General features: G+C 38.1%; 1 long non-coding RNA gene and 1 pseudogene across 3 annotated transcripts in view, besides 7 other annotated features; one reads left to right on the top strand and one right to left on the bottom strand.

The window, feature by feature from the left end:
* Positions 1-2145, bottom strand: part of FRG1HP (FSHD region gene 1 family member H, pseudogene) — a 46843-nt pseudogene extending 44698 nt beyond the window's left edge. The window contains exons 1-2 of one of the 2 annotated variants that reach the window (NR_034006.3): positions 1631-2145; positions 972-1153 (exon numbers count right to left, since the gene is read on the bottom strand). The product of NR_034006.3 is annotated as an FSHD region gene 1 family member H, pseudogene, transcript variant 1 (transcript). The remainder of the gene's footprint in view (positions 1-971; positions 1154-1630) is intronic. The other variant, NR_156730.1, reaches the window with a different exon arrangement.
* Positions 1739-1808: an enhancer, noted in NCBI's record as "active region_28426". NCBI's record gives its function as "activates an Ori minimal core promoter by ATAC-STARR-seq in GM12878 lymphoblastoid cells {active_cell/tissue: GM12878}" and the evidence as "EXISTENCE:reporter gene assay evidence [ECO:0000049][PMID:35858748]".
* Positions 1819-1878: an enhancer, noted in NCBI's record as "active region_28425". NCBI's record gives its function as "activates an Ori minimal core promoter by ATAC-STARR-seq in GM12878 lymphoblastoid cells {active_cell/tissue: GM12878}" and the evidence as "EXISTENCE:reporter gene assay evidence [ECO:0000049][PMID:35858748]".
* Positions 1899-2248: an enhancer, noted in NCBI's record as "active region_28424". NCBI's record gives its function as "activates an Ori minimal core promoter by ATAC-STARR-seq in GM12878 lymphoblastoid cells {active_cell/tissue: GM12878}" and the evidence as "EXISTENCE:reporter gene assay evidence [ECO:0000049][PMID:35858748]".
* Positions 2289-2498: a silencer, noted in NCBI's record as "silent region_19919". NCBI's record gives its function as "represses an Ori minimal core promoter by ATAC-STARR-seq in GM12878 lymphoblastoid cells {active_cell/tissue: GM12878}" and the evidence as "EXISTENCE:reporter gene assay evidence [ECO:0000049][PMID:35858748]".
* Positions 2575-12916, top strand: part of LOC107986997 (uncharacterized) — a 46412-nt gene continuing 36070 nt past the window's right edge. The window contains exon 1 of the long non-coding RNA XR_001746463.3: positions 2575-2841. This is a non-coding gene — a long non-coding RNA (uncharacterized LOC107986997). The remainder of the gene's footprint in view (positions 2842-12916) is intronic.
* Positions 2649-2838: an enhancer, noted in NCBI's record as "active region_28423". NCBI's record gives its function as "activates an Ori minimal core promoter by ATAC-STARR-seq in GM12878 lymphoblastoid cells {active_cell/tissue: GM12878}" and the evidence as "EXISTENCE:reporter gene assay evidence [ECO:0000049][PMID:35858748]".
* Positions 2649-3391: a biological region, named in NCBI's record as "NANOG-H3K27ac hESC enhancer GRCh37_chr9:68725219-68725948".
* Positions 2662-3391: an enhancer, noted in NCBI's record as "NANOG-H3K27ac hESC enhancer chr9:68725219-68725948 (GRCh37/hg19 assembly coordinates)". NCBI's record gives its function as "activates a minimal SCP1, AML or CMV promoter by ChIP-STARR-seq in naive H9 embryonic stem cells {active_cell/tissue: H9 hESC(naive)}" and the evidence as "EXISTENCE:reporter gene assay evidence [ECO:0000049][PMID:30033119]".

The raw sequence follows: 12916 nt of genomic DNA, 5'->3' as shown, positions 1-12916 counted from the left end.
TTTTAAATCCCGATTCTGTCACTTCTTAGCTCTGCAATTTTTGGAAAAGGTACTGAATCTCTCTGTGAGTCAGTTTCCCCACTTAAAAAATTAGGATAACAACTTAACTCTTAAGTCTATTGTGAGGATTAAGAGGTAATATGTATCTTCACACATTGCTGGTGGAAATGTAAAATGGTGCAGCATCTACAGGAAACAGTTTGGGGTTCCTCAAAAAGTTAAAGAGTTACCATATGACCCAGCAATTTTACTCCTAAGTATGTATACCCAAGGGAAATGAAAACGTACACCCACAAAAATACTTACATAAGAATATTCACACTAGCATTAGTCACAATAGTCAAAAAGGGGAAACAATCTAAATGTTCATCAACTGATGAATGGATGAACAAAATATTACATCCATACAATGGACTACACTACGCAGCCATAAAAAGGAACAAGTGCTACAACAATGATGGACCTCAAGAATGTTGTAAGTGAAAGAAGCCAGATACAAAAGGCCACATGTTACATGATTTCTTAGGAAATATTCAGAATAGGCAATTTCACATAGATAGCAGACTAGTGGTTGCCATGGACTAGGAGAGGGGGAAGATGGGATGTGACAGCTTTAATGGGTAGGAAGAGATTTCCTTTTGAGATGACAAAAATGCTGAGCAACTAGACAGTGGTGAACCTCTTGGATATATACTAAAAACCACTGACTGTACAAAAGGGTGAATTTTATAATTATGAATTACATCGCAATAAAAAAATAAAAACCCAAGAGGGATTTGAAAAAAGTTAATGTGCAAAATGCCTACAATTTCTTGGCGCATTGAAAGTGCTATATAAGCATTAATTATGATTATTACGATAATCTTAAGATACTCTTGTCTGCATTTTCATCATAAAGTTTTCAGAAGATAACTCACCACTCCTCACAGGAAATTCACAGAGTAAAAATCTCACATTCATTCAGGATATACCTGCCATTTATTCTGGCATCTTCATGAGGCCAGACTCCTCGAGAGGGTTCTCAAGGGCAGTGGCTTCAGCTCACTCCTTGATACTTTCTTTCCATCTCGCCTAACAATATCAAAACTTCTGTTTATCACGGAGGCCAGGAGGAAAGCTCAATATTTGCATGTACAGTCAACCTCAGGCAAATCTGCCAGTTAAAAAAGAAGCGGGGATATGAATGCACAGGTATTTTTCTCCTAAAGAGCTAATAAATTACCACTACAACCTCCTCCTCACATTTGGCTCAATTTATTTACTGCATGTATGTTCTCTCATTTAATCCTCACAGTCTTCTAAAGGTATAAAAAATGGTCTGAAAGTATAAATGTGTAAACGGAGGTTCAAAGATACTTGATCTCTTAATGAGTAAATGGAAGTTCAGACATATTAACCAATTTGCCACAAATTACAAAATTAGTAAATGACAGAGTGCAGGTTCCAGCCCATATCCCTATCAAAGTCCATATACACCTCAACCACTGTGTGATTCATCCTGGTTTCACTCTACATATTAGCTTAGAAAAAAATTAATAATTTTTCCAGGAAGAGACAATGGAGAAAAGAATAATTCCTAATAAAGGAAGTTATTATAATGAACTACAAGATCAGACTAACGCAGACCCACCAGGCAGAGGCCTGGAGAGATGCCTCAAGGGACCCAAACTCGTGGGTACGGGGTCACGGGTCACCCGCCCGTCTATCCTGTTTCCAGGGTCGTCCGCGCAGGAGGCTGCCCCTCTCTGCACAGGCGCCAGGAAGGGCGGTCCGGCCTCCATCCAGCCCAGACAGGGTCAGAGCGAAGCCTGGGAGGCCACGAAGCCGGCTCTCCGCATCACGGCTTCCACCGGATTCGCGGGGGTGGAGTGCGTCCGAAAAGAACTGAGGAGGCTCCCGCCGGAGCTGCAGGACCCAGCTCTTCACCTCGGTTCCCTTGAGCACAAGCTTGGTAGACTTCACATAAGAATACTAGGCCATGGCTCCGGGAGACTTCTGCGCGGAGAGGCTGAAGCCGGCTCAGGAAGAGTATGTGACCTGGAGCAGCACCAGGGCGGGGAGGAACAGAAGTGGAGGCGAAGTAAACACTCCCCGACAGCGTAGGTCTGTCCAGAACCCGCCTCCGTCTTCACCCAAACACTGAATGGCTGAGATTTCCACTTCCGGGTTTCTGCTGGGGAGCTATGGCGGCTGCAGAGGGCCGAAAGGTGTCTGCGCGCATCTGCTCCCTGGCGCCCTCTCGAGGAGCCCCTGAGGATTCGTGCCTCCCAGAGGTGGGGAAAGCCCGCCCGAGGCGCCGGTGCTGACGGTGGCGGGGCTGCCGGGCACGCTGTGGAACTGCCTCCCGCTAGAGCTGCGGGCTGGCGACGGTCCCGTGGGGGCGGGAAGCGGCTCAGGGTGCCCTCGCCGGCCTGCGGCGGCGCGTCTGGGAGCGCAGGCCACTCGTGCGCGGGTCACTCGGGGCTGTGCCTCGCGCGACTGTGTGTGCAGGAAACAAGGAGGAAATACCCTAAAATGGAATGAAGCGCCATGTTGAGGGCCGCGGATGTCGCGAGTGCTGTGGGAATGTGGGCTGAGGTGGAGAGTTATGGTGGAGGAAGCTAGTCCTGTCTGATGGAGGAAACAGGGCAGAGGCGTGGAGGGAGACGCACAGTGCTGGTGTGAGGAGCCGCGAGCAGGCCAGGCCTGTAAAGCAGCGTGATGGGAACCAGGATAGAGAAGGCAAGTCGGGGTCCTGTGGTCGCTGAAGAATTTGAATGAAATCAGTAAACAGGTGAGAGGGATCCATCGCAAGAGCATGGGATGAAACGAGCAGTAGTCCACGGTGATTCCTCTGCAGCGGTGGGTATTATTAATCGCGTATGTGACACCAAAACGTGGGTATTATTGATAGCTTATGTGACACCAAAACCACCCCATTTAAGCTGTGGCTCTTTCCCTAAAGTAGAAAACAGAGATCAGTTGGGTTCCAAGCATCCACGAAGATCTTATTAAATTCGTGATCCCTGGTGGCACCATGGAGTCAGGATTGGCTCATCTCAAACCTGACTCAGAAACAAAACCATCTCAATGGGCAGAGATGAGCGTCCTTACCCGCTATCATAACGTATTTTCTGGTGTTTTCACAGTGCTGCGCTTCCTAATCCCCATTCTAGGGCAATCTACATGCCATGATGCCCAGAGGCATTAACAAAGGAGACACACAGGGGCTCCTCACGTTGGCTTTCCATGGTTTTGATGAAAATCTGTTTCCTCATCTCATACAATGTGGTCCGTAATAGTATCATTTAGGGTTGAAGAATTAAATGGTACAAATTATATAGGGTGCTTATGATAACCTACATGGAAAATGCCTAGGATATGTTAGCTATGCTCATCACCAACATCGTTATATGATGGTAATAATCAGATAGTCAGGAAGGCTGACACCAAGAAAATGGATACATGCTCTGAGGGAATGAATGTGGAGAGATCAGAAGGTCAAGAACAAAGCCTTACAACATGTCTGCAGTAAAGGGATAGAGAAAAGAAAGGCTATAAAAGAAGGAATGAAACAGAGTAAAATTATAAAATCAAAGCTAAGGAGAATTTCCAGAAAGGGTAATATCATTTAATATCATAGAAGTTTAGGAACACAAGATGGAAAAAAGGCCTCTGGGTAACTGACATTGAGGCAGTCTTTAGGGAAGCTCCATTTCTGACAGAGTAGACACCAAGTCAGCTTGAAGCAGGGACAAGTTGAAGAAGCTGTTGGCTGGTCGCATGGGGAAATAAATAAGGGATGGCATATGCCATATTTCTGGATTTCTTTCTTTCTTGCCCAGCCTCTATATATGCATAGAGTTTGGTGAAAACTTACAAAAAATAAAAATGAAACCAATTTTGTTTGTTGACTCAAATACAATGCTTTGTGTTAGAATCAAGATAAATTCATGCCTCTCCCTTCTATTGTCACCGTCAGTTTTGAAATTAAACATCAGCTTTTCTTCTTCATTAAAATCATTTTCAACTCCTCCCAGGTGTTGGTGGTTTGGGGGAGTTACATAAGCAGTCAGGTCTTGATGAGTAGAGGAGGAGGGAACAAACACTTTCAGCAAAGGTAGAATTCTGAAATTCTGCTCGTATTTTTCTCCAGTAACTTTCCTATGTTTGTGAGGTTATTCAGTCATAATGATCCTAGTGAAATTTTTTTCAAGCTTGACTAATCGTAATCACTGTGGACGTTTGTTTAAAATGTGTATTCCCAGGCCTCTCTCCTGCTGATTCTGATTCAGGAGATCACGGATGGAACTCAGAATACATGTGTTTGACAAATACCACAAGTGGTTCTTATGGTCAGGGAAATTTGGGACTCTAACCAGAAATTTATGTTTTTATGACTGGCAGCTAGAAAAGATTCCTAGAGTCTTTGCTTTTTGAAAATAAAATATTTCTTTTTTAAAAGGAAAATTGTATGACTAGATACAACATTTATACATGTGGCACATGTACTGTACTGTGTGCTTTTGTCATATTTACAGTTGAAGATGTGTAAGAACACTCTGAGAAAAATTATCTATTAAATGCAAAGAGGGGTAAGTCAGGGTGGGGGAGAAATGGGAAGGGTGTGCTTATTGTTGCTAAAAGGTAGAAAAGCCAGAATGATAGCATCTAGGGTTGCAAATAGCACATTGTAAGTTGAGGGAGCTTCATAATCATGTCTGAAACCTTCTTTGATATACTGAGTTGTAAACAGTGGCTTTGGACAAGATTTGAGGGAGAAACCAACTATGCTTTAAAGTGTTCATTTAAAAGGCTTTAATTAAAGGAAAGTCTTTATATTTACTTGAGCTAATTTAACTTCAGGACTTTAACAAATTACTAGCCCTTAACCTCTTAAAAATTGTCTTTCATTTCAAATGAAAGTTTAAGGTGGCCTTTATGTTTGATTGGTATACTTATGCGAAGACTTAACAGCAAGGTACTGTACATTTCTAAATGTTTACTTCTTAATTTTGCTGGAAGAAATATACTACTCAATTGATTATTTTTAAAGCAAAGTAAAACAATTTATTTTGACAAGCGACACTGTATTTTCCCAGTTTTCTGGTGGCAAAGATTAGGCTTAACATCACTAATCATCAGAGAAATGCAAATCAAAACCAAAACGAGATACCATCCTACACCAGTCAGAATAGCTACTATTAAAAAATCGAAAAACAGCAGATCTTGGGAGGCTGTGGAGAAAAGGGAACATTTACACATAATTGGTGCGAATGTAAATTAGTTCAACCACTGTTGAAAGCAGTTTGGAAATTTCTCAGAGAATTTAAAATAGAAATTCCTTTCAAGCCAACAACTCCATTACTGGTATATGACCCAAAGAAAGTCAGTTATTCTACCAAAAAGAGATATGCACTTGCATGTTCATCGCAACACTATTCACAATAGCAAAGACATGGAGTCAGCCTAGGTGCCCATCAACAGTGGATTGGATCAATAAAATGTGGTACATCCACACAGTATTATTAGGCCATTCTTGCATTGCTATGAAGAAATACCTGAGACTGGGTAATTTGTAAGGAAAAGAGATTTAATTGGCTCATAGCTCTGCAGGCTGTACGGGAAGCATGGTGACGGCATCTGCCTGGCGCCTGTGGAGTCTCCAGGGAGCTTTTACTCATGATGGAAGGCCAAGAGGGAGTAGGTACTTCACATGGCCAGAGCAGGAGCAAGAGAGAATGGGAGTAGGGGTAAGTACCACACACCCTTACACAACCAGATCTTGAAAGAATTCACTATCACAAGGACGGCATCAGGCCATGAGAGATCCACCCCCATGACCCAAACACCTCCTACCAGGCCTCACCTCCAACACTGAGGATTACATTTCACCATGAGATTTATAGGGGCCACCTTCCAAACCATTTCACACACCATGGAATACTATGCAGCCATAAAAATTAACAAAATCATGTCCTTTGAAGCAACTTGGATGCAGCTGAAGGCCATTATCCTAAGTAAATTAATGCAGGAATACAAAATGAAATACCACGTGATCTCACCTATAAGTGGGAGCTAAACACTGGGTACTCATGGACATAAAGATGGAAAGAATAAACACCGGGACTACTAGAGGGGAGAAGGAGGAAGGCAAGGTTTGACAAACTATTGGGTACTATGCTCATGTATTAATCTGTTCTCACACTGCTATATAGAACTACCTGAGGCTGGGTAATTTATAAAGAAAAGAGGTTTAACTGACTCACAGTTCCACAGGCTGTACAGGAAACATGGCTGGGAGGCTTCAGGAAACTTATAATCATGGCAGAAGGTGAAGGGGGAAGCAAGGCACGTTCTACCATGGTGGCAGGAGAGCAAGTGAGCCAGGGGGGATGTGCCATATGTTTAAACCATCAGATCTCATGAGAACTCACTTACCACCTAAGAACAGCAAGGGGGAAATCTGCCCTCATGAGCTAATCACCTCCCACCAGGTCATTCCCCCTACTTTGGGAATTACAATTCAACATGAGATTTTTATGGGGACACAGAGTCAAACCATACCAAATCAGCATCTGGATGATGGGATCATTCATACCCCAAAACTCAGCAATATGAGATATACCCATGTAACAAACTGGCACATGTACCCCTGAATGTAAAATACAAGTTAAAATTATTTTCAAAATAAATTAATTAATTAATAAATAAATATGATTAAATGAAATTAAAATTTTGAATTAAAAAATTTGAGAGTGATTTCAGCTTGACAGTTATGTAAGTTATGTAAATTGAAACAGTGAGTTCTATAGGGTTTGGATCAATTGCATTATCTGTACTAAGTTGATGACCAGTTGTTTGGATGAAAAGAAAAGAGGTGAAACATATAGATCTAACAGGAAAAAAATGGACCAGTTTTTATGATAGCAAAAAGAAGAATGGAGGAAATAGGACTGAGGTTATAGTGATTGATAGATATTAATAGACGACTAAGTCAAAAGCCATTGGCTGCAGAAAATATTGATTAATTTTGTTTTATTGCAGTCAGACAAAAAAATCCTATAACCTGCCTCTAGAGAAAACCCTTTTAGCCCTATAATTATCTTTATTCCAAGCACCATTCCATTCATTAAGTAGTGTATAGGGTGATTAATAAGTGAATTATTCATAGAATTAAGACAAAATTTTTGAGTATTACAGGATATTAATAGTATAGCCAATGAACTAAAATAAAATTTGACTAGAGGTATGATCACCATGAATGCCATGTTGGTCTCTTGTTAGATTTGGCAACCTAAAGTTGACAAATTTATTAATAAATAAACATTCCTTGATGATTAATTTACATTTAGTAGACCTGCTCTTTCTTCTTCCTTCCCTTTCTTATTCATTCATTCATTCATTCCTACAGAGCAGTGACTTTCATTCTAAGATTCCCAGAATCCTAAGGAATTCTTGAATGTCATCATAGGGAGCCAGGTGTGAGGATTCCTAAAAATTGTACTTAATACTTGAAAAATCTCAAAAAGTTATATATTTACACCAGAAAAATCTATACAGGTTTTAAGTTATATGTATATAGTTGAATACTTTTTATTTCTATCCAGTACTAAGTCATTAGAGTTAATAATGTTGATTATTTCATACTGACCTAATGGGTAGCCTTTATATATCATTGATTACTTATTAGTAAAATAAGAACCCCCCCAAAATTACAAAATAAATATATTTTGTGGGTTTTTCTTAAGGCTTTTGAAACATAAAATCAGAGGAGGGGATTAAAAGTAATCCTTGATTATTAGAAAGGCAGCGAACTACTAACTTAGAAAATTGTATGAAAACAGCAAGATATATACATGGCCCTCAGGCCAGCTGCCTGTTTTAATAAAGTTTTATTGGAGCACATCCATGGATCTATGGGGCTTTCCTGCTACAATGGTAGAGTTGAATGGTTGCTATAGAGACCGTATGGTTTGCAAAGCCTAAAATATTTTTCATCTGGTCCTTTATAGCAAAAGTGAACCCAGTTTTAGAACATTCACTTTACAAATTAAGATACAGTGGATGCTGCCTTAACTGACCTCCACTTAACTGATTTACAATCAGCACTTTCTTGTACCCCTGTACAACTTATTGACTGATGTCCACTGCAAATGGAAAGCCTTTGAGCTACTTTTAATGCCTGTACATTTCTCCTTCCATCACAGAAACTGTACAGTTTCTAAGAGGAAGCTGTGTTCATTCCTAAATATGTTTACGCCATTTGTTCTTGTTCTTGTAGTTATGCAATTTAATTAAATATGATGTTGAGAGGCTGAGATGGGCGGATCACTAGGTCAGGAGATCGAAACCATCCTGGCTAACTCGGTGAAACCCCGTCTCTACTGAAAATACAAAAAAAATAGCTGTGCGTGGTGGCGGGTGCCTGTACTCCCAGCTACTGGGGAGGCTGAGGCAGGAGAATGGCAAGAACCCGGGAGGCGGAGCTTGCAGTGAGCAGACATCGCACTACTGCACTCCAGCCTGGGTGACAGAGCGAGACTCCGTCTCAAAATAAATAAATAAATAAATAAATATTACGTAAACTGAGAAAATGAGTATAACAAGAGTAGTATTGTTGTTTCTCTGAGAAATAAACTAAATATGTTGGAAAAATGAGAAACTCAACAGTTGCTGTCAGCTTAACTGTTGGCAAGACAACTAGAAACAAATGGGAAAAATTGTGTAATCTAGGATTTCAGATTGCTTTACCCCAGTTGTCTTCACAGAAAGTGAACAAGAAATCAATGACAACATATCATTGGCATAGTTTCCACAAGAAACTCCACTCCGAATCCGTGCAAGGGTTTGACCTTGTCATCAAAATTCTGGCAAATTTATTTACACATGTCTTTTAAATTAAAGTTAAGTTTTAAGGACTTACATCTAATACTTCTTATGATTCCTCCAGCTAACTTAAATTTCTGATTAATCTGTTTATTACTGGTCCCAATCTGATTGAATAAGGGGGTTTCTACCGTTTTTGCTAACCAAAAGTTTACTTTGATGAAGATGGAATTATAAATACAATAATTTAAGTTTAAATAATTAGAATGGTAATGGTTAATACAATTTAGTATGCCTAAAAATCACTTGAAAAGCTTACTAACAATGTAAATTCTTGTGCCTTAGGCCTGAGATTTTGATTCAATAGGTCTAGCATGGGGCATAGGAATCTGTATTTTTAGGAATGATAAAGGAAAATTGCTTAAAATAGGGTAAATTATAACTTACAAATATAAAATGAACACTTGTCTAAGATTTTTGTTTAACTCGTTTGTTTAATGAGGGAGCCAGTAAGATGTTATACTGAGTTTTATGGAAAATTAAAAGAGCCACACATATCTAGGCACTAAGGAACACTGAAATAAATTTGCTTGATAGGTTCAAAACTGAATTCTTGATGGAAGGTGGGAAAAGGAAAATTAATTATACTTCCACCAAAATCAATCATTTGCCTGTCTATAAACATGAATATTTGCATTACTATCAGTAATCTACAACTAACAGAATTGCAAATAACAAAGAAAACAAAAGGCACAGAGACCCCATAGAAACAGATAACTCAGGTTATTCTAGACAAGGCTGAGATTTCCATTAAAGACACTCAGTGGTAATTTCGTTGGTCCATCTTAAAATCTTTCCATTTTCTCCTGAAACAAATTGCTCAAGCAATTCAAATACAATGAATGTGGTCAGTGGGTCACACCTGGAGAAATCATTTTCTAACCTGTAATCAAGACTGAATTACTCCCTTCACTGGAAAGAATAAAATATTACCACATAAATTCGTATTATGATAATGGCCCACTATGAATGCTTTGGTGTTCTTAATTTTCTTAAGATTTATTAATATTTCTGAAGTAACTACTAAATGCCAAGCAATATATTTTCTAATTTAATCTTTCATTGACTTTTACTTTCACTTCAATTGAGCTACTCACTTTCATGGCTATAAACTTAACTTTTCAATCACTTAAAAATTGATTTCTAATGTTATAAACTTTAATGTTCCACTCTGTGACCTGCTCTTTCAGACTCTTCCTTACTGTCAATTCACCTTCTCTTCTATCTCTTCCAGTGCCTCAGTATCTTGACTCTTCCATTTTCTTTTTTCTTTGCTTTTATTAAGTAGATACATGATAATTTCACATGTTGATGGGGTACAATGTGGTATTTTAATACATGACGCATTGTTAAAACCTCTCCTCCCTATCTTTCCCAGTCTGGCAACCACTCTTCTATATTAGATCAGTGTTTCTGGTAACCACTCTTCTACTCTTTATTAGATCAGTGTTTTTAGATTTCACATATAAATGAGATCATGTGATATTTGTCTTACCGTGGTTAGCTTATTTCACTTACCACAATGTCGTCTATGCTCATTCATGTTGTCACAAGTGACACGATTTTACCCTTTATTATGGCCAAATGTGCATATGATATAGTTTGGATATTTGTCCTGACCCATATCTCATGTTATATTGTAATCCCCACTGTTAGAGATGGGGCCTGGTAGGGGGTGTTTGGGTCATGGAGGTGGATCCCTCATGGCTTGGTGCTATCCTCATGATAGTGAACGAGTTCCCAAGCTTCCTGACTAGTCAAGCAGATGTTGGCATTATGCTCCCTGTACAGCCCATGGAACCAGGAGCCAATTATGTCTCTCTTCTTATAAATTATCCAATCTCAGGTATTTCTTTATTCTTGCAATGCAAGAATGACCAAATACAGCATATATGCCACATTTTCTTTCTCCATTCATTCATTGATGGACACTTAGGTTGATTCTAGGCTATTGTGAATAGTGCTGTAATAAACATGAGAGTCCAGAAATCTCTTTGACATACTGATTTAATATTCTTTGAATATATACCCAGTAGTGGGATTGCTGGATTATGTGATAAGTCTATTTTTAATGTTTTTGGAAGTTATATTGTATTCCATAACAATTGCTCTAATTTACATTTCCACCAACAGTGTATGAACATTCCCCTTTCTTCACATCCTTGCCAGCATTTGTTATTTTTTGACTTTTTCATAACAAGCATTCTAAGCAGGGTGAGATGATATCTCACTGTGGATTTGGCTTGCATTTCTCTGATTATTAGTGATGGTGAGCATTTTTTCATATACCTGTTGGTGATTTTTTTGTCTTATTTGGAGAAATGTCTATTCAGCTATCTTGACTATTTTCTAATCCAATTATTTGTATTTTTGCTATTGAGTTGTTTGAGTTTTCTATAAATTTGGGGTATTAACCCCTTATGAAGTGAATAGATTGCAGATATTTTCTCCCATTTTGTAGGTTGTCTCTTCACTCTCATGATTGTTTCCTATGCAGTGCAGAAGTTTTTATTTGGTGTTATCCCATTTGTTTATTTTTGCTTTTGTTGTGCATGTCTTTTGATGTCTTTTCTAAAAAGTCCTTGCCCAGACCAATGACATATAACATTTCACCTATGTTTTCTTCTACTAGTTTCATAGTTTGGGGTCTTACATTTAAATATTTAATTTATTTTGAGTTGATTTTTTTATATGATGAGATATAGGGGTCTACTTTCATTCTTTTGTATGTGGATATGCACTTTTCCCAGCACCATTTGTTGAAAAGACTGTCTTTTCCCAATTGAATGTTTGCACCTTTGTCTAAAATAAGTTTCATGTAAATATGTGCATTTATGCCTGAGCTCTCTATTTTTGTTCCACTGGTCTACATGCCTGTTTTTATGCCAATACCATGCTGTTTTAGTTAGGATAGCTTTGTAATATATTTTGAAATTAGATAGTGTAATACCTCTAGCATTGCTCTTTTTGCTTAAGATTTATTTGGCTATTTGGGGTGTTTTGTAGTTTCACATGGATTTTAAGATATTTTTTAATATCTGTGAAGAATGAAGTTGGAAATTTGATAGAGATTATATTGGATTTATAGATTGATTTGAGTAGTATGGTCATTTCAACAATATTAATTCTTCTAGTCCATGAACATGGGATATCTTTCTATTTATTTTAATTTTTTAAATTGCTTTTATCAATGTTTAATAATTTTCATCTTTCTGTGGCTTAATTTACTTATAGGTATTTTGGTTTTTTATAGCTATTTTAAATGGGATTATTTTCTTGATTCCTTTTTCAGATAGTCTGCTATTGTTGTAGAGATGTTACTGAATTTTTATGTAGCTTTTGTATCCTGAAACCTTATTGTATTCATTTACTATTTCTGATTCTCAGTGGTGTATTTAGGGTTTTTTACATATATGATCATGTCGTCTGCAAAGAGGGACAATTTGACTTTTTTTTCCAATTTGGATGCCTTTTATTTCTTTCTCTTACATAATTGTTATGACTAGGACTTCCAGTACTATGTTGAAAAAAGTGATTAAAGTGAACATCCTTGTCTTGTTCCAGATCCTAGAGGCAAAGCTTTCAAGTTTTCACCATTCAGTATAATGTTGCCTGTGGGTTATCACATATGGTCTTTATTTTATTATGTTGTTTTATAACTAATTTGTTAAAAGGTTTGATCATAAAAGGATGTCTAATTTTGTCAGATGCTTTTTCTGCATCTATTGAAATGATTATATGCTTTTTATCCTTCTTTGTTTAATGCGATGTATCACATTTTATTGATTTACATGTATTAGACTATCCTTACCTCCCCGGGTAAATACCACTTGATTATGGTGAATAATCTTTTTAATGTGCTTTTGAATTATCATTGCTAGAACTGCTGGTTTTGAATGTTTGCATCTATGTTTATCAATGATATTGGCCTGGAGTTTTCAAAGAGTTCCCTCCTTTTCATTTTTTTGAAATAGTTTGTAAATAATTTGTATAAGTTTTTAAAATGTTTTGTAGAATTTGTCAGCAAAAACCACCAAGTCATGAACTT

Source organism: Homo sapiens, chromosome 9 (assembly GCF_000001405.40).
Source record: "Homo sapiens chromosome 9, GRCh38.p14 Primary Assembly".
NCBI lineage: Eukaryota > Metazoa > Chordata > Mammalia > Primates > Hominidae > Homo > Homo sapiens.
The sequence above is the reverse complement of the archived record's forward strand: the minus strand, read 5'-3'. Positions and strand labels throughout refer to the sequence as shown.